The 21069-nt window shown below is 40.0% G+C and overlaps 1 pseudogene; it reads left to right on the forward strand.

Moving 5' to 3' along the window:
* Nucleotides 15740-16341, forward strand: RPL7AP61 (ribosomal protein L7a pseudogene 61; annotated as a pseudogene).

A 21069-nucleotide genomic window follows, 5' to 3' on the forward strand; every position in this document is an offset into this window, starting at 1 on the left:
TGAAAAAGAAGTGATGTTGAATGTTGGCATTCATATAATTCAACCTAAACCATAGAGAACCAATAGTCAAAGTACCACACTCATGAATGGGTTGGAAAATGCCCAACAATATCACTAAGACAAGGCTGTCTGTGTAAATTGGACTAGAAAAGGAGTATAATTGAGGCCTAAGTGGAGTTTCCAGTTGCCTTTCCCTAGAATGGATGATGACCATGGCTGCCAAGCAACTTTCTCTGAGGCAGAGGGGGAATGGTGGTCCTCCCCAGCCAAAGGAGGGCTCATCTAGGTGTACTGGTTGGGGACACCAAAAGAGATGCTGTGAGGCAGGGAGGGAGAAGGGTTGCCCCTTTTCCTCATTATGAATCCTAAAAAGTGGCCCCCCACATATTGTCCTGCATTAGCTTATGATGCAGACATTGTCTTAGTCCATTTGTGCTGCTGTAACAAAATATCTGAGACTGGGTAATTTATAGAGAGCAAAAATGTATTTTCTTACAGTCCTAGAGGCTGAGAAGTCCAAGATCAAGGCACCAGCATTCACTGTCTGGTGAGGGTCATCTTACACATCAGAAGGTGGAAGAGCAAAAGGGATGATCTGTCTGTCTGGAGGCTCATTTATAAGGGCATTAATCCACCCCAAAAGATCCCACCTCTTTGCAATCTTTGCATCTCTACAAAGTAGATTGTGTTTCAACATGAATTTTGGAGGGGACGTCAACATTTTAAACCATAGCACACATCAAAGTAAATCTGGAAGCACAACATGGTTGTGATAGTGAATTTTATGTGTCAATGTGACTGGGCCACAGGGTGCCCAGGTGAAATATGATTTTTGGCTGTGTCTGGGAGGGTGTTTCTGGATGAGATTAGCATTTGAATAGGTGTACTCAGTAAAGTACATGGCGCTCCTTCATGTGAGTGAGCCTCATCCAATTCTTTGAAGACCTGAATAGAACAAATGTCAGAGAAAGGAAAAAACATTTGCTGCCCCCTTTTCTTGAGCTAGGACATCTCATCTCATGTTCTCCTGCCCTCAGGCTTGGATTTATACCATCAGCTTCCCTAGTTGTCAGGCCTTTGGACATCAGACTGAATTATACCATTGGCTTTCCCAGGTATCCAACTTGCAGACAGCAGATAATGGGACTTCTTAGCCTCCATAATCATGTGAGTCAGTTCCTCATAACAAATCTCCTTTTAGATAGATAAATAGGTGATGGATGGATGGATGGATGGGTGAACGGATGAATAGATAGATAGATAGATAGATAGATAGATAGATAGATAGATAGACAGACAGACAGAGAGATAGAGTAGGGGTAGAGACAGAGATAACCCCTATTGGTTCTGTTTCTTTGAAGAACCGTAACTAAGCCAATGGTTCACCTGATGAGCACCCTAGTATTTTGCTTGCTCAGGCTATTTGTGGCTCCCAATAACATAAGCAGAACCGAGACATTCCCATAGTCCCCAGGGGAGACTCAGGAGGCAGCTAAATTCAAAGAATCATAGGGCCTGCCACACTGAAGGGAAAAATAATCAACACCAGAGGCTTGGGGTGGCCTCCTTTACCAGGAGCCAGGTGGACACTAATGCAGAAACCCAGAACTCACAGAGTACCAGCAAGAATCAAGGGAAGGACAGGTCATCCAGAGAGGGCTAGCAGGTTCTGCCTAGGCAGGAGGAAAGATAACACATTTTCCCCCCAAGATTATAGAACAGGCCTTGGCCAACATGCTGGAACCAGGAGAGGAAGAGAGCTATATAGAGCAGGGCCACCACAGTCAACCCTCAACATGAGACAAAGCTGTCTCAGCTGACTTGTAAACTCATAAGAAAGAAATACACGTTTCCTGGGGTATGCCATTGAGATCTTGAGGTTGTTCTGCAGCTACATCTGACCAATACAAAGACAGAGTTTAACGTGACTTGATCATACCTTGTGACATTGTCTGTCAACACGAGCCACAAACACAATATTAGAATTTAGAGGCCAGGCGCGGTGGCTCACACCTGTAATCCCAGTACTTTGGAGGCCAAGGTGGGCGGATCACCTGAGGTCAAGAGTTTGAGACAAGCCTGGTCAACATAGTGAAAGCCCATCTGTACTAAATACAAAAATTAGCCGGACACAGTGCTGTGCACCTGTAGTCCCAGCTACTTGGGAGGCTGAGGCAGGAGAATCACTTGATCCCCGGAGGTGGAAGTTGCAGAGAGCCGAGATCATGTAACTGCACTCCAGCTGCTCAACAGAGTGAGACTCTGTCTCAAAAAAAAAAAAAAGAAAGAAAGAAAGAAAGAAAGAAAGAAAGAAAGAAAGAAAGAAAGAAAGAAAGAAATTAGAGTATATTTCATGATATCTCTAACCAGCCCAGTTGGCACTGTTGGTACAGGGGAAATGATACATCTGAAGAATGGAAACAGACTGTCAATCGAGAAAAATGATAAGACAAGTCTCAATCATTTTAGAAGGCTTATTTGCCAAAGTTAAGGATGCACACCCAGGAGACAGGTCTATGCCTTTCTCCGAGGATGATTTTGAGGGCTCCAAATTTAAAGGGGAAATGGTAGGATATTGAGAAATATACAATTTTCATGTAAGAGGGGTATAGGGAAAAATAGTCATTCATGCCTTTGTCTGGCTCTATTAATTTGCATTTTTTTGCATAAGATGACATAGACAAATGGGCAGAGGAAAAATACAGGGAATCTGCATTTGACATAAGATAACATAGACAAAATGGGACAGGGGAACAATCAGATATGCATCTGTGTCTGGTGGGCCTGGGGTGACTGCACCTGTAAAGAGAAGCTATCATTTTACATTGCCATGGTGAAATCTTCACAGAAACACCTTAAAAGATCTTGCAGCTCACTAGGAATTTTCTTGTGGGCAAATTATGGGGGAGGTGTGTAGCTTTTTATCTCGTAGCGATCTTATTTAGGAACCAAAAGGGGGAGGCAGGTTTGTGTGACCCGGTTCCCAGATTGACTTTTCCCTTTGGCTTAATGAGTTTGGGGTCCTAAGATTTAATTTCCTTTCACAAGACTATAAATAAAATTTCTTTGCTCCCCCACCACTGTCACAATAAAAATAAATCTGTGACAGGAACTTTCGCTTCACTAGAAAACAAATTAACAAAGGAAGAACAGCTATCTGAACTTCAAGCTCTTCCAAATGAAGGATGCTATTTTGGGGAAGCAGTTAGCTCAATGAAACCTCATTATATAAACTCACTTTGCAAACTCTTCCCAACCAGGCAATCTTGGTGATGATATGTGGTTTGGTCCAGAAATGAAGGCAAAAAAGTATTAATTTTTAACATGTAAGACCCATTTTTTAAAGTCTTAAGGACTGAAAAACCCTAGTTTTAATGTCTTTCTCTATTTAATGAAACTTGACACGGGAACAATTCTAAGTGAGAAGAAAGAGCAAATATCTTTTAAATTTACTCTTTCTTAGTAAGGGTGGTAGCAACTGTACTTCATCAGGTTCTGGAATGTCTTTTCCAAATCTTAATAAAATGCAGCATTATCATAAGTTCAAATACAAGCAAGAAAACAAGTACATGGTAGGTTTATTAATAGTAGGTTAACCCAACCAGGTGGAATTTGAGATTACCTTTGGTTCAAAACTGTTTCAGAAACAAAAGGAGACAGGGAGATTGTAAATTCCAAAAGAAATGGAAACTCACAGTCAAAGGCACCTTACTAAAATCCATTTTAAATCTACTGAATCTCAGCAAGTCACCTATTAAAGGCCACAGTTTCACTTCTAATGAACAGAGATTAAACCAGTTTTGACCACCACTATCTAATAATGTCTTTATATTTTACCTCCCTTGTCAGAAAGAATTAATTCATGCTTTATTCATTCAGCAAATATTTATGGATTGTTCATGTTCCACCATGAGTTCTTGTAAGTCCTGGAGGGAGTATTGACACGAATAGTGCACAGTTCTGTCCTCAAAGAGCTCATAGTGGAGGAGCCAGATAAGACAACTGACAACCCCAAGAGAACACCAGCAGATTGTAATCTATGAGCACACAGATGAGGACAGCAGACCCAGCCAGCAGGGTCAGGAGAGGCCACTCAGAGGAACTGAGACATTGGAACTCAGGCCTGAAGGATGATGGCAGGAAGCCCAACAGGAGAGGCCATTTCAGGGAAAGGGAACAATATTATGTTTGAAGGCAAGGCAGGGAGAGCTTGGAGTATCTGGGGAATGACAAGTGTTTCAATATGTATGAATTTGGCAATGGGGAAGATGAGGCTGAAAAATTATTCAGGGCCAAATCAAGAATCCCCATGCATGAGAAAGACATCTCAAAGAATGACTTCCTTTTTTTTTTTTTTTTTTTTTTTTTTTTTGACAGAGTCTCACTCTGTCACCCAGGCTGGAGTGCAGTGGTGCAATTTCGGCTCACTGCAACTTCTGCCTCCCAGGTTCAAGCGATTCTCCTGTCTCAGCCTCCCAAGTAGATGGGATTACAGACAGGCACCACCATGCCTGGCTAATTTATTTATTTATTTATTTATTTTTGTATATTTAGTAGAGATTGGGTTTCGCCATGTTAGCCAGCTGGTCTCGAACTCCTGGCCTCAAGTGATCCACCTGCCTCGGCCTCCCAAAGTGCTGGGATTACGGGCATCAGCCACCACCCCCAGCCTCAAAGAATGACTTTTGAAGGAGATAAAAGACCAGCGTTGAGCCAGTAGAGAGCAGAATTTAATTATGATTCTGCAAATCCACATTTAAGGTCATGGCGTCCACAGTACTATTACTCTAAAAAAAATGTTTTTTTAAATCAAGATTCAGAAGGAAGTGCTACAGATGTTACTCTGGGCAACCTGGTTCCATCAACTGGTTCTAATTAAACCAACACCTGCATTTTACGCAGGAATGGACTTTTCGGGAATAAGGATCCAGCTTTTCTCAAAGAATAATAAAATAATAGCACTCATTTGCTGTGGACAAAGGGTGCGGTAATGTGGAGCCAAACTGCAGAGGAAGTTTGTAGAGAAAAGGGAGGTCATGGTTTTTAGGCTGAGCAGACAGGTAAAAATTGTCTTCAAGGTTATAAAATTAGCAAATTGCAAAGCCAGGATCCAAAGCCATTTCTCCTGGTTCCAAACCCAATGTTCTTCTTGTTGTCTTCTTCTTGCTAAAGAAGCAGCTTAGCTGACAGTTCACTGGCCTTAAGTCAAACAATCTAAGTTCAAGTTCTCATTCTGCCACTTGATATTTTTGCTATATTTGCTGAATGAATAAAGAATGAATTAATTCTTTCTGACAAGGGAGGTAAAATATAAAGACATTATTAGGCAGTGGTGGTCAAAATTGGTTTAACCTCTGTTCATTAGAAGTGAAACTGTGGCCTTTAATAGGTGACTTGCTGAGATTCAGTAGATTTAAAATGGATTTTAGTAAGGTGCCTTTGACTGTGAGTTTCCATTTCTTTTGGAATTTACAATCTCCCTGTCTCCTTTTGTTTCTGAAACAGTTTTGAACCAAAGATAATCTCAAATTCCACCTGGTTGGGTTAACCTACTATTAATAAACCTACCATGTACTTGTTTTCTTGCTTGTATTTGAACTTATGATAATGCTGCATTTTATTAAGATTTGGAAAAGACATTCCAGAACCTGATGAAGTACAGTTGCTACTACCCTTACTAAATTTCCTTGTTAGCCTCTTCATGCAACTCAGCCTCCTTGTGAATAAAATGAAGGGGTCTGGGCCCGGATCTGTGCTTACACCATTTGCCTAGAGATCCACACATGTCTGGGTTATCAGTTAGGTATTATCGCCTCTGATTGTGGACATATTTGCCTCCCACCCCTACTCCTTGAGAGATATAAAAGAGAAGCCTCCAGATGGTCCAGAAATGCTGTGTGTTCATGGGCACATGGTGGCCCCAACCTCAGCTGCTACAGTTCCACACAGGTTTCACTAGGAAAAAAGAGTTCATTGCTTAAAAAGGAAGAAGAAATAAACAAGTCTGTCAAACACTGGCATGTATGAGCACTAAGATCATTTCCAGCTAAAAATAATTGACCTTCTAATGTTGGGATGATAAAGGAAACTTAGATGATTAAATATGAGATAACTCTTACTGAATGCTACATGCCTGGCATTATGCTAAGAGCTTCATATGTATTAATTCATTTTGTTTTTTTTCTTGAGACGGAGTCTCTCTCTGTCGCCCGGGCTGGAGTGCAGTGGCGCAATCTTGGCTCACCACAACCTCTGCCTTCCAGATTCAAGCGATTCTCCTGGCTCAGCCTCCCAAGTAGCTGGGATTACAGGCGTGTGCCAACACACTTGGCTAATTTTTGTATTTTTAGTAGAGACAGGGTTTCGCCATGTTGGCCAGGCTGGTCTCAAACGCCTGACCTCAAGTGATCCACCCACCTCAGCCTCCCAAAGTGCTGGGATTACAGGCATGAGCAACCGCACCCGGCCAATTCATTTTATCTTTACAACACTCTTGGAGGTAGCTACCATATCCATTTTACAGATGAGAAAACAGAGGTGCAGAGAAATTTAACTACTTGCCTGAGATAACCCAGTTAATAAGGGTGAGACCTGGGATTGGAACCCAAGTATTCTCACTCCCATCAGAATACACTAAACGTGGCCCTCACAATTTACTCAGGCAACCATCACATCCTAAAGAAAATGTGTTAAGCTTTTATTCACCGAGCACACTCTCAAGTAAATGTGACTCTGTAGAACTTCAGAGTCAGATCACCTTAAGTCCATTCTGTTTTCTTAACTAAATCCTTTTCCAATCCACAACTTGAAATTACCTTCCAGAAGGAAAGAAACTAAGTTTTTTATTTATTCACATGCATAGATCCACCACTGATCAACAACTTGGAGCATACAATGATAATGACATTTAAACACTCAGGATGTGTAAAGCATCATGACAGATACAGGTCATGAGTCATCTCATTGAACCTCACAGGACTCATATGAGGCAGGTCCTAGTAACAGAACTCTTTGGTTGCAAGAAAGAAACACCAACAAGCATAAGCAGGAATGACGCTGCAAGACTGCTTCCCAGAACCCGGGAGAAGGAAACCAGCAGAGCCTCTGGAAACAGTGACAACCAGGAACTCGGAGAAACTCCCCAGCTCTAGTCTCCACTTCTCCAGAGAGGATAGGGGATGTGGGGAGGAAGTAAAGGCACAACACTATGTGAGAACTCAGGAGTTCAGCTGTGGCTGAAGTGTGTGGCATGTGTGCCTGTGTGTGCAGGATGGGTGGAACAGTAAGCTGGTGAGATCAGTAGGACAAATTACAAAGAACTTTATAATTTGTAATTAATAAATTATAATTTGAGTTAATTTATAAATTATAATTAATAACTGTATATTGTATTTTTAAAGTATGATTGTGACATACTTAAATATTTTTGGAATGTTTCCACCTAAACATGTACACACACACACAGACACACACATACATACATGTAAATAATGAATAACTTTTTTTTAAAACCACCTCTATGCCAGGCACTAAGTGCTATTCACATTACTTAGTCTTCATAATCACCCTATGAGGGGATTATATTACCCTTCTTAATCCACATTGTCTTAGTTCAGGTTGCTGCAACAAAATAACAGACTGGCTAACAGAAATCTATTGCTCATAGTTCTGGAGGCTGGGAAGTCCAAGATCAAGGCGCTAGCAGATTCAGTGTCTAATGAAGGTTCACTCTCTGCCTTATAGTTGGCACCTTCTTTCGGTGTCCTCACATGATGGAAAAGAGACACAAGCTCCTTCAGCCTATTTTATAAGGTCACTAATCCCATTCAGGGGGACAGAACCCTCGTGATCTCATCAATTCCTGAAGTCCCTACCTTTTAATACCACCACACTGGGGATTAGGTTTCAACCTACAAATTTTGTGCAGGCCCAAATATTCAGATCGTAGCACCCATTTTACAGGTGAAAAAAAATCAAAAGTTCAGAGTAATTAATAACTTGCCCAGAGCACACAGTTACTGCATAGTGGAGCTCAGATTCCAACCCAGGCAGTCTGACATTAGTTTCACGCCTACTCCCTGCTTCACTTGAATGAGGAAATAAAAATGCTACAACATGCTAAGAAGCCAAAGACATCTTACCAAGGAATCGGAATGTCGAGACAGATGGTTAGTAGGGCTTGTCATCGTTATCAAAACTCACATTTGTATTGCACTTTATAACTTTAAAGTGCGCTCACATCTGTCTCATTTGGTTCCCTTGACCCCATGAAGTGAGAACAACGTGGTAGTTTAGGGTGAGTTCTGTACCCTGCTTTCCCTCATGCCAGTGCAGTAGGCTGCATAATTGAGCCTCCGCACTGCCAGCAAGCATCCAGGAGAAGTATCACCTGCCCATGCTCAGTGCAGAAAGTGCAAGAGCACTTCCAAGAGCAAGAGACAGTGCACTCTCTCTGGGCTTTGTTCAGCTCACTTATGCTTAATTCTCACCCAAACTCTATGAGACTTTTGAAATTTATCCAGAGACCAAAGTGATAGAAATGAGCCTAAGTTCTCAAACCCTCCTCCAGAAAGGCCAGGCCTCTGGCTCCATCTGGCATTGGAATTCCAGGAGCCACCATGCTAAAGGTCACCCCTGGCCTGCCCGCATCCTGAGCTCTGGATCATTCTGAAGAGACGTCCTGAGATTAAGCAGATGAGAACCCATGGACAGTGTAGGAAAATCATATGTTGTATGGAGCCTTGGAAGAGCAATCTGAAACAATGATGCAAAGAAGGAGGCCAAGGAGTGAGGAGTGGGCAAGGAGAGTCTGCAAAGAGAACCAGGAGCTGGGGCTGGGAACCTTCTATGCACATGGACAATGGGATGGGTGGAGCCATTCTGTGACTGGTCAGAGTTCTGGAGTCATCAACCTTGGCTAGAAATCCTGCTTTATCACCTACTGGGTGTATGATAGTGGGCAAGTTACATAGCCTTGTATCAGATTCCTCTGCTGTAAAATAGAGATGACGCTTACTTCCAGAGGTTACACTGGGAAAGAAATGAAAACCATATTCCAAGAACCAAACATACTTAACTGGCACATCACACTTCATTATTGATAGTTTCCATGATATTAAAACATTCCCTCGGGCTGTGCATCTGAATTTCTCCTCTTTATGGACAATAATGAGCCATCAGGAAAACAGGAGGTAACCCTCACAATCAACAAGAGGCAAATCATTAAGTAAACTAGTTGTCCTAGCGACACCAAACTCAGCGGAATATTAAGAAGCCATTTTAAAGGATAAATATGAAGGACATAACCTTTTAAATGATTAGTTTAAAAAGACACAAAATTCCAAATGTACTCTCATTATAATTATGTAAATATATGGGCCTTACTGAAAAGACACGTGGAAAACTAAAAATAGAGTAATACATTTATGTATTTTTAAAAAATATTCATATCGTCGGGCATTGTGGCAAATGCCTGTAGTCCCAGCTACTCCAGAGACAGAGGTGAGGCGAATGACTTGAGCCCAGGAGTTTAAGACCTGCCTGGGCAACACAGCAAGACCTAGTCTCAAAATATATGCATATATCTCTATATATGTATTTATTTAATATATTTATCTTAATAAATATATAATATTTATGCAAATATACTATGTATTTATTATTAGAATAATATATATTTTATGTATTTTATGAATATAAGATATATATTTTAAAATATAAAAATATATATATAAATAAATTTATGTGGTGCTCAACATCATTAGTTATTGGGGAAATACAAAGTAAAACTACTGTAAGATACCATTACACATCTACCAGGACACCTAAAATTGAAGGACAGATAAAACCAAGTGTTGACAAAGATGAGGAGCAACTGGAACTCTCATACATCTGTGGAAGGTTCAGCCCTTCCACTAGTTTGAAAACCATTTGGCAGTAGCTGCCAAGCCAAATGGAGTTATGCCCTATGACCTGGCATTTTCATTCTTCGGTGTAATCCCAACAGAAATGAGTGGTTATCTTTACTAAAAGAAAGTTTAAGAACATTCATAGAAGCATTACTCAAAATAGTTCCCAAACCAGAAACAACCTTTGTCCATCTACAGGAGAATGGACAAATAAATGTAGTGCATTCATACAATGGAACACTACACAGCAATGGAAAAGTACACATTACTGCTATAGACAAGGAAGAATCTCACAGATATAATGTTGAGCAAAAGAAACCAGCACAAAAAAGCTCAAAACAGGCAAAAGTAATCTGTGGGGCTAAAGAGAAGCCAGAGAAGTGGGTGTTTTGTGAGGGAGCATTGACTGAGAGGGAGTATGAGCCTTCTGGGGTACTGAAAGTATTCCAAATATAATTTGAATGATGGTTACACAAGTGTATATAATTCATTGAGCTAATGCCTTAAGTAAGATTTATGTACTTTGCTGTACATGAGTCATACTTCAACTCAAAAAGCAGAAAATTTTTAATATTAGTATTAAGATTTTTAAAAATTCAAATCAGGCAAAAATTTAAGATAAAATCTGATTGACTTTCTTTCCTCTCTCTATTCCCTTGAAGTTTTTAGTTTGGAGAATTACCTGATGTACTCAGTGAGAATACATTTCTAAGACAAAAACAGTTAGATATTTTAAAAATATGATGCAAAGCATAATGCAGTTAAATCTATTTTTGGTGTCTGTTTTTCATTTTTGTTGTGTAACATTGAACAGTCTTTTCCTTTCCAGATCCCTCTGAGCTATAGTTTGGCCACTTATAAAAAGGTTGAGAATTTTCCCTGCCTCATTTGAGCCATAAGAATATATGAACAAAACCAAAAAGGTTGAGAATTTTCCCTGCCTCATTTGGGCCATAAGAATTTATGAACGAAACCCTGCCGGCACTTAAAAATATTGAACACTCTTAAATATTTTAAATGCTTCATATGGTATTCCACACGAGATGAGCCCATGCACTAGATGTATCTGTGGGACCCTTTATATTTAACCATATCCCTTTTCTTGCAAACATTTCTCCTTATTTAACTTCTGTCTTTTGAATGTATACTGTATTCTGAAACATAAATGCTTAAAATGAAGTTTCTAACAATTTATTCAAGTCACTGATACACCTTTAGTGGTTTCTTGAGCTTGAGCTTCACTCCTGGAATGAAATTTATGTTGAATGCTGTTTTCATCTGTTTGGAATGCTATAACAAAGTGCCATAAACTGAATGGCTTATAAACAACAAAAATTTATTTCTCACATATGGAGGTTGTGAAGTCCAAAGTCGAGGAACCAGTAGATTTTAAGCTTGGTGAAGGTCTGTTTCCTGGTTCATAGATGGTGTCTCCTGTCTGCATCTTCTCTTGGTGGAGGGGGCCCAGCTCTCTGGGGCCTCTTTTATAAAGGCAATAATCTCATTATAAAGGCTCTACCCTCGTGACCTAATCACCTCCCAAAAGTCCCACCTTCTAATACCATCATCTTGGGTGTTAGAACTTCAACATATGAATTCTCAGGGGTCTCAAACATTCAGACTATAGCAAATGGAGTTCCAAAGAGATACCTCAAATTTCAAATTGTAGATCATTATTATCTGTGCAGTTTATTTTTTATTGTATTGTATTTTCTACCTTTTTAATAAAAGCCATTTAACTGGGGTGAGATGGTATCTCATTGTAGCTTTGATCTGCATTTCCCTGATGATTAGTGATATTGAACATTTCTTCATATACCTTTTGGCCATTTGTATGTCTTCTTTTGAAAAATGTCTGTTTGGATCTTTTGCCCATTTTTACTTTAGATTATTTGGCATTTTTGCTATTGAGTTGTTTGAGTTCCTTCTATATTCTGGTTATTAATCCCTAGACAGATGAGTAGTTTCCAAATATTTTCTCCTATTCTGTGGTGTATTAGTCTGTTTTCACACCACTATAAAGATACTATCCAAGTCTGGGTAATTTATAAACAAAAGAGGTTTAATTGACTCACAGTTCCACATCGTTGGAGAGGTCTCAAGAAACTTACAATTATGGAGGAAGGAGAAGCTGGCACATCTTACGTGGCAGCAGGCAACAGAGACAGTGTGAGAGAGGAACTCTCAAACACAAAACCATCAGATCACGTGAGAACCGTCAAACACGTATAAAATCATCAGATCTAATGAGAACTGTCAAACACTTATAAAACCATCAGACCTCATGAGAACTCACTCACTAAACAGCATGGGGGAAATAGCCCCCATGATCCAATCGCCTCCCACCAGGTTCCTCCCTCAACACCTGGGGATTACAATTCAAGATCAGATTTGGGCAGGGACACAAAGCCAAACCATATCACGTGGGTTGTCTTTTTACTTTATTGTTTCCTTTGCCATACAGAAGTTTTTTAGCTTGATGTAATCCCATTTGTCTATTTTTGTTTGGTTGTCTCTGCTGTTGAGGTCTTGCACAAAGAATATTTTCCCAGACTAATGTCTGAGACCATTTCCTCAATGTTTTCTTCTAGTAGTTTCACAGATTCCTGTCTTAGATTTAAATATTTAACTCATTTTTGGGCTGGATGCAGTGGTTCACACCTGTAATCCTAGCACTTTGGGAGGCCAAGGTGGTAGGATCACTTGAGCCCAGGAGCTCAAGACCAGCCTGGACAACACAGTGAAACTCCATCTCTACTAAAATACAAAAAAAAATTAGCCAGGCGTGGCAGCGGGTGCCTGTAGTCCCAGCTACTCGGGAGGTTGAGGCAGGAGAATCACTTGAACCCTGGAGGCAGACGTTGCAGTGAGCCAAGATCACACCACTGCACTCCAGCCTGAGCAACAGAGCGAGACTCTGTCTCCAAAAAATAATAATAATAATAATAATAAAAAATATTTAACTCCTTTTCAATTGATTTTTTTATACAGTGAGATGAGGTCTAGTTTCATTATTCTGCATATGGAAATCCAGTTTTCCCAGCCCCACTTATTAAAGAGACTGTCCTTTCCCCCATTGTATATTCTGGGTACCTCTGTGAAAAATGAGTTGGCTATAAGTGTGTGGATTTATATCTGGGTTCTCTATTCTGTTACATTTGTCTATGTGTCAGATTTTATGCCAGTACTATGCTGATTTGGTTACTATAACTTGGTAGTATATTTTGAAGTCAGGTAGTATGATGTCTCTAGCTTTATTCTTTTTGCTCAGGGTTGTTTTGGCTATTCAAGGTCTTTTGTGGTTCCATATAAATTTTAGGACTCTTTTTTCTATTTCTGTGAAGAAGATCAGTGGTATTTTGATAGGGATTGCATTGAATCTGTAAATTTTATTGGGTAGAATTGTCATTTTAATAATATTAAGTCTTCCAATCCATGAGCATGGAATATATTCCCAGTTTTCATGTGTCCTCTTCAATTTCTTTCATCAATATTTGATCATTTTCCTTGTATAGATTTTTCATTTCTTTGGTTAATTTCATTGCTAGATATTGTGCAGTTTAGATAGCTTTATGGATTTGATAAGAAGTTTGTCTTGTTACCACGTCATTGTGTACTATGGACTTGCCCCTTCAGGGTCTGCCCAGAACGTTCTCAAGCCCAGGAATCCCTTTCAGAATCCAGCTCCACCATTCCAGGAAGGGGGAAGAGTGAGGAAGCCTCACTTCTGCAGATGTTCTCTGCCGATTTGGGGGTGGGTATGTGCATACTGACTGCAGTGACCTCACCCACAGATGGGCTAACCAAGCTATAACTGTTTATTAGAAACTAGAATGGTTCCATGAATATGTCATTCACCATTTCTTTAGTAAATTCAGTTTACATCATCATCTGCCTACAAGATAAAGAATACTTTATGCGTAGTATCAGCTCACTACAACCTCTGCCTCCTGGGTTCAAGCGATTCTCATGCCTTATCCTCCCTAGTAGCTGGGATTACAGTGACCAGTTTTCTTAATGAAGTATTTTTCCTACTGGGAAAAAGAAAACCAAGAAAGCTTTCCCTCCACAATTGGTGGGGAGGACGCTCATGTTCTGGCCTTTCTCCACTTTCCTACCTGGCATTCGTCATTCTTGGAACCTCCCGCCCCTTCTTCTGCGTCACTGCTGTTTCTGTGAGCATTATAAGCTTGCAGTTAATTCACCATATGACCTAAAGTCAGAATAATGACATATGGAATTTCAGGCTGATTTGCTGTACAAAGAGATCTAAGCATATGCCTCTTGAGAACAGGCATTGCTGTTACACAGCACCGTGAACACATCCATACTGGATTAATTTGGAATTTGCAAAGTTTAAAAAGAAACCTCTCAAGAACTATGACCATGATTATAAAAGTCAGACCACCAGACTATGATCTGTATCCAAGGAATGGTACTGAAGATTTTCAACCCCACTGAGCCTGTTATACGGATGGCTAACAGAGTCTGGGCTGAAGAAGAGATGTATACATTATCTTTTTTCTGTAGGTTTCTCAGACACCACCTGGGCAGCTGACCTATTTCACTGTCAGAAGCAATGACATGAGTCTCATATGTGATACTTTTCCAACAATTCTAAGCTTCAAAATAAACAATTTTGAAAACCTGCAGCTCAGCACTTGGCATTTCACCAGAACTTTCCCAACTCCCCAAAGCCAAATCTGTTTTTTTATTCTACCATGGAGTGCCTCGTTTATCTTTCCCAGGAGAAAATGTAAAAAAAAAAAACCACCTACAGAATTTGGTTTGGAGGGTATATAATGAACAGATAAAATGATCCTAGAACAGTAGTCCCTTAAAAAAGTTATATCAGGCCTAGATTCTTCTAGGAATATGTATATATAAATAATAATAATCTAGTATCCCAATTTTTATTCTCTTTGATCTCATTAGTAGATTTCTCAAATACCAGGTAAGAGAGAGCAACCCACATAAAATAGACAAACAAAAGACAGCATGTATTTTAGAATAATTACAGAGTTCCGAGTATAAATATCCTAGTGTTGCTAATATCATACTTTCTAATCAACAGAGGACATAAAGATTTAATGCTGTCTTTATAGCACATGAAAAATTTATTTTTGCTTACTGAGGAAAGAAGTATAAAAATTGATTTGATACAGTCCATTTTTAAAAAAAAAGATAAGTCTTTACTATGGAGGAAAATAAAACCTCAATGTTTGGTCATATTTACATATGTTGACTTCTAGAAGTACAGATTTAGACTGACCTTGAATGGCCAGATTTATTTCTGTAAGGCGAATCTGGAAAACTTCTCTACAAATGTAAACCATCAGGGAAACGGGTGGCATCAGGCCTGACAGGGGCTTGTTGATTTTAAATATGGCACATGTGTTATTTTAACCAAAATTTAAAATGCTATCAAAATGTTTTAAAATGTTCAAATCAAAGCTGAATTATTATTTCCAGGCTGAGCACAGTGGCTCATGCCTGTAATCCCAGCACTTTGGGAAGCTGAGGCAGACAAATCACCTGAGGTCAGTAGTTTGAGATCAGCCTGGCCAACATGGTGAAACCTCGTCCCTACTAAAAATACAAAAATTAGCCAGGTGCATGTCTGTAATCTCGGCTACTCAGGAGGCTGAGGCGGAGAACTGTTTGAACTCAGGAGGCAGAGATTTCAGTAAACAAAGATCGCACCACTGCACTCCAGCCCAGGCAACAGAGTGAGACTCTGTCTTAAAAAAAAAAGAAAAGAAAAAAGAAAAGAAATTATTATCATTCCCGGTTAGGCCTACAAAATGGGATGCAATAATCACCCCTGTCTGCTTGTCAAATGCAGCTGTTACATCCAGCTGTGGTGGCAAAGAGTCTTCCTTTATAAGTGTTTGAAAGCATCCCCTGAGATGAACCAGCTCACTCAGACATTGGCCAGTCAAACAGCTACTGAATTGCTTAAAGTGGCCAACTACATTCAGGCACAGAGCAAGAAAAGCAGAGAGCTGCCAGAAAAGGGGTATCCCCACTGAGACTGCCGGTCCTTTAAGCAGGTGTTTATAAAGTCACCACCTTGGTGGAGAACAACAAGGCTCACCTGGGGATGACTGCACATGTGTGGATTCCACTGAGCTGGTTGTTCTTCCTGCTGCCTTGGGCTCTAAAATGGGAGTCTCCTAGTTCATTATCAAGAGAAAAGCCAGACTGGTGGGATGTTTCCTCCACAGAAAGACCTGCACCACCATTGCCTTTACACAGGTTAACTCAGAAGACAAAGGAGTCCTAGCTAAGCTGGTGGAAACTACCAGGACCAATTACAATGACAGACATGACAAGATCTGCTATCATTGGGGATAACATTCTATCAAATTTATGGCTCTCATTGCTAAGCTCAAAAAGCAAGGCTAAAGAACTTGTCGCCAAACTGGGATAAAGGTTTAATGTTACCTTTACTGTACATAAAAATAAAAATTAACCTTCAAACATATTAATCTCATTAAAATACCTTTATTCTCCAAATTTGCATTGTACTATAGCCTAGAACGCACAGACTCATTTACTATTTACAGCTCGTGATCTCCCCAAGCCAATGAAATATTCTTTGTCCCTCTACCTTATATTTTAATTTCTTGGGTGCCTGTCCTTGCTCTCCTAATAGATAGACTGCAAGCTTATAGAAGAAAAGAAGTGTATGTTTCTTCTCCTTGGACTGACTTGATTTAGGTCTAAGATCGCTTTATTGTTGTTGCTTACATTCTTACAGCTCCCAGCACAGTTCTGCACACATGGAAACAGTACAGAGGCCAATGAGCGATGCACAATAGGGCCCCTGGGAACTCAACCGTGCACCCACATCTACAGCACATATCAGTCTCTCTGCTTCTGGGGATTATCTACACACTGCAAGTGGTAAATTGGTTAGTAGTTACCAATTCTGTCACAATCGAATGTTTGTGCTCCTCTAAAATTCATGTTGAAACTTAGTTTCCAATGTAATAATATTAAGATGTAGGGCCTTAAGGAGGTGATTTGCTCATAAGGGCATCTCCCTCTTGAATGGGATTAAGGCATTTATCAAAGAAGCTTCACCAGGATTCTGCCCTTTTTGCCCCTGCACCTTCTGCCATATGAGGACACAGTCACAAGGTGCCATCATGCAAGCAGACAGCACAGCCCCTACTAGACACCAAGTCTGCTGGCACCTTGATCTTGGACTTCCCAGCCTCCAGAACTGTAAGAAATAAATTTCTATTCTTTATGAATGACCCAGCCTCTGGTATTTTGTTATAGCAGTGCAAATGGACAAACACATACAAAATACCAGAGCCTGGGTAATTTATAAAGAACAGAAATTTATAACTATGGATAAAAGTCAGTATAACACTAGCCCATGCTGTGGTAACAAATAGACACCCAAATCTCACTGGGGTGTCACAGCACAAGTCAACTTCCACTATTCACAAAATGTCTAGTGCAGGTAAAGAGCTCTCCAGGGATGTTTTTTTGATGTAATGACTAAAGATAGAGGCTGCTTCCGTTGTGTGGCTCCTCCATGTCAAAATGGTCACACAAAAGAAGAAGATGATGAAAAGCCTATGCCTGTTTTTAACTGTCTCAGTCCAAAAGTGACAAAAATTCATTTTTCTCATGGCCCATCAGCCTGATCTAGATACATGGCCCCAGTTCAACTATGAGTGAGATGAAGAACTAGGGGAGCCCATGGAATATTTAGTGAACATTACTGTCTCAAGCATACAACCAATTTTTTTTTTTTGAGACAGAATCTCACTCTGTCACCTAGGCTGGAGTGCAGTGGCTTGATCTCAGCTCACTACAACCTCCGCCTCCTAGGTTCAAGTAATTCTCCTTCCTCAGTCTCCCAAGTAGCTGGGATTACAGGTGCATGCCACCATATCTGGCTAAGTTTTGTATTTTTAGTAGAGACAGGGTTTCACCATGCTGGCCAGGCTGGTCTCGAACTCCTGACCTCAAGTAATCTGCCTACCTTGGCCTCTCAAAATGCTGGGATTATAGGCGTGAGCCACCATGCCTGGCCACAACCAAATTTTTTTAATGGAACCAGAGGACCAGTTACAGAATGCCACTTGTATAGTGATACAGCTATACCAACAAGGCACATAACAATATATTTTATTGTGTAAATTAATTAAGAGCTCCACATATTTATATTAAAATAAAATCCCTATTCATGCAATTGATCTTTATCATTTTCAAGGAAAGCAAGTCCTGTAAAGAAAGTGTGTTTTTATTTCGTACAAAGCAATGAGGTGTTATGACTTGGCTTTGGAAGAAAGTTCTTAAAATAATACATCAGGCTCATCTGTTGAGGCCGTCCCTTCTGCTGCAGCTTGCTATTGCCCAGTTTTCTATCTCTTATAATAGTAACCAGCTTTGAAGCCAAAATAAACTCTCTAGTTCTCTAGAACACCCCATCTGCCTCATCCTTCAACACCAGGAGTCCTTCCAAAGCTCTTAATGGCTGAGGCAATGCATACTATAAATTAATTGTCATGTGGCTTCATTCCATCAAGGCTAAAAAGATGTGCCCATTTCATCATTGTTGCAAGAATAAAGTTTTTAATTTCACACAGCAATCTTTCCCAGATCACTAGCTTAAAGACTATCTTTGGTATGGTAAATGAAATAGTCATTCCGCACGTGAAAAATAATCTGAGACTCTAAAAACATTCCATTGGGATCAAAATAATATCAAAAAAGAATGGTCACAAAAATGTTTTACCTCCATTAACAAAGGCATCTATTCTATTTGTTAGCACACAATCATAATTTCGTTATAGCCCTTTCTTTGTATCTCTAGGAAAATAATAAGAATTGCAAAGTGTAATTTTTGTAACTTATAAATAATGCTTTTACAAATTAGAATTCTGATAACCCCTTAAAGGTTATGACCCCCAAAACTTATAAAAATTACATTGGGCTGGGCACGGTGGCTCACACCTGCAATCCCAGCACTTTGGGAGGCTGAGGCAGGCAGATCACCTGAGGTCAAGAGTTTGAGACCAGCCTGCCCAACACAGTGAAACCCCGTCTCTACTAAAAATACAAAAATCAGCCGGGCATAGTGGTGGACGCCTGTAATCCCAACTATTCGGGAGGCCGAGGCAGGAGAATCACTTGAACCTGGGAGGCAGAAGTTGCAGTGAGTTGAGATCGCACCACTGAACTCCAGCCTGGGCAACAAGAGCAAAATTCTGTCTCAAAAAAAAAATTGCATTGACTTTCTCTCAAAACTAGAAAAGTTTTGAAGTATGAAGTTAAAAATATAATTGGAAGATGACATATAGTCAACTCTCCTTACTCTTATGAGTTCTCCCTAGAGATACAAATGGAACTTTGGTTCTTCTAGTATCTCTCCCATGTGTTACATCATGGCATCATATTCAAATCAAAGAACTAGAACTGGGAAGTGCCAGCAGCTAGCAATAGATACCAAAATAGCTTCTCTTTTTCAAATTTTTACAATCACTAACATTGAGAAATGGTTACCCAGTACAGAGTTAGGTGAAAACACGTACACACATATATAGACATTTATTTAATTACATGTATACCCTACCACAAATATCTATGTGGTCTCTTGTCTTTTTACTAGATTCACTACAGTATAACATAAGATACTTTGGGCTGTGAATTGGAGAAAAGAAAATCCTTATTGTCTTAAATGATGGGGAAATTAATTGACTCACATAATCATTGAAGTCTGTAGCAGTGTTTCTCAAAATATCTGTGGACAGTTGTTCTTGAATTGATTTAATTTTTCAATTCAGTGCAGATTGCTACATGGTTATAAAGCACAAGATTTGTACACAGTTTGCACAACTTACAACTCATCCATTTGTTGGACAACACCCCAACTAGTCTAGAGCCTATTTGGCTAGATAAGTGCATTGACCACACACTTGGAGGCGATTGCAATATCAAATCCCTACAAAAATTCCTAAGCATGTCTCTCAATTTCTATGTCTATGTCATCATAGAATGGTAACAAACAGTTCCCAGACACCCTACATTTTGAGTGGCCCTGGTCTAGAGATAGGTTGGGCATTCACAAGGTTCTTGTTCCATCTCCCTGGCATTTTTTAAGTTTTCCTCCTTTGTGTGCCAGCTGCCTCCTCGGGCTGGAAGGAAGATGTGTGCAATGGTCCCAGTCTTAATATGTGACAACATCCAGAAGAGATAGGTCACTTCAAAGCAACAGCAAAAGAGCAAAGAAAACCTCTCCTGGGAGGCTCTAGCAAACTTTCTGCACATCTCATTGTCCTTAATTGGATCACGTGTCTATTCCCGAACTTATGACAGGCAAGAAAAAGGGGATTACTCTTGGAGCAATTGGGCCCCCTCCTGGAGCTAGGGGTGGGAATCCATCCTTGGGGCATGTGAGTTGCATAATAGAGAGTAGAGAGTGTGTTGCATTAAACATAAAATTGGGTTTATGTGGTAAACGTGGGAAGGAGGAATGGATGATAGGGAGACAATCAACAATGTTGGAAGTATTTTAACTAGGCTTTTGTATAATTATTAGTCAATCAAAGGATATTATTAAGTAGTCATTAATTTAGTAGCTTTGTATCGAACTTGGGCACACAGAAAGCCTGACTTACCCTAACATTTCCAGCACCTGAGGAAAGAATCCTATCGACCCTATGTTCTCCAATCATTGTGACCAAGAGAAAAGGATTTCACAGAACAATTCTGGCTGCTTAAGAGAGGAATTGGCAGGGTATCCTTATGGATTTGAGAGTGAGCAGTTACTAGGGAGGGGGAGGTCATGTGAACTGGGCAGATGCTTCAGAAAATGTCCCCACAATCATTTAAAAATTAACTCCATAACTCTCTCCTCCTTAAGTGTGAGTTTTGCACAGTGACCTCCTTTCAAAGAGTACAATGTGGAAGGGAGGGGAGAAACTTGATAGTGGAGAAATCTCACAAACAGCACTACAGCCAGGTGGTCAAATTCAAAATCAACAGTGATAGATCACGTTGATAGTATGTACCCTTGATGTGATATGATGACAATGGTACTTAGCATCTGTGGCCTTCCTCCCAATAACCCATTACCTCAGTCTAATCATGAAAATATCAGACATCCATGTGTGGGCAGGAAATGAAATAAAATATT

This window comes from Homo sapiens, chromosome 13 (genome assembly GCF_000001405.40).
Source record: "Homo sapiens chromosome 13, GRCh38.p14 Primary Assembly".
Taxonomy (NCBI): domain Eukaryota; kingdom Metazoa; phylum Chordata; class Mammalia; order Primates; family Hominidae; genus Homo; species Homo sapiens.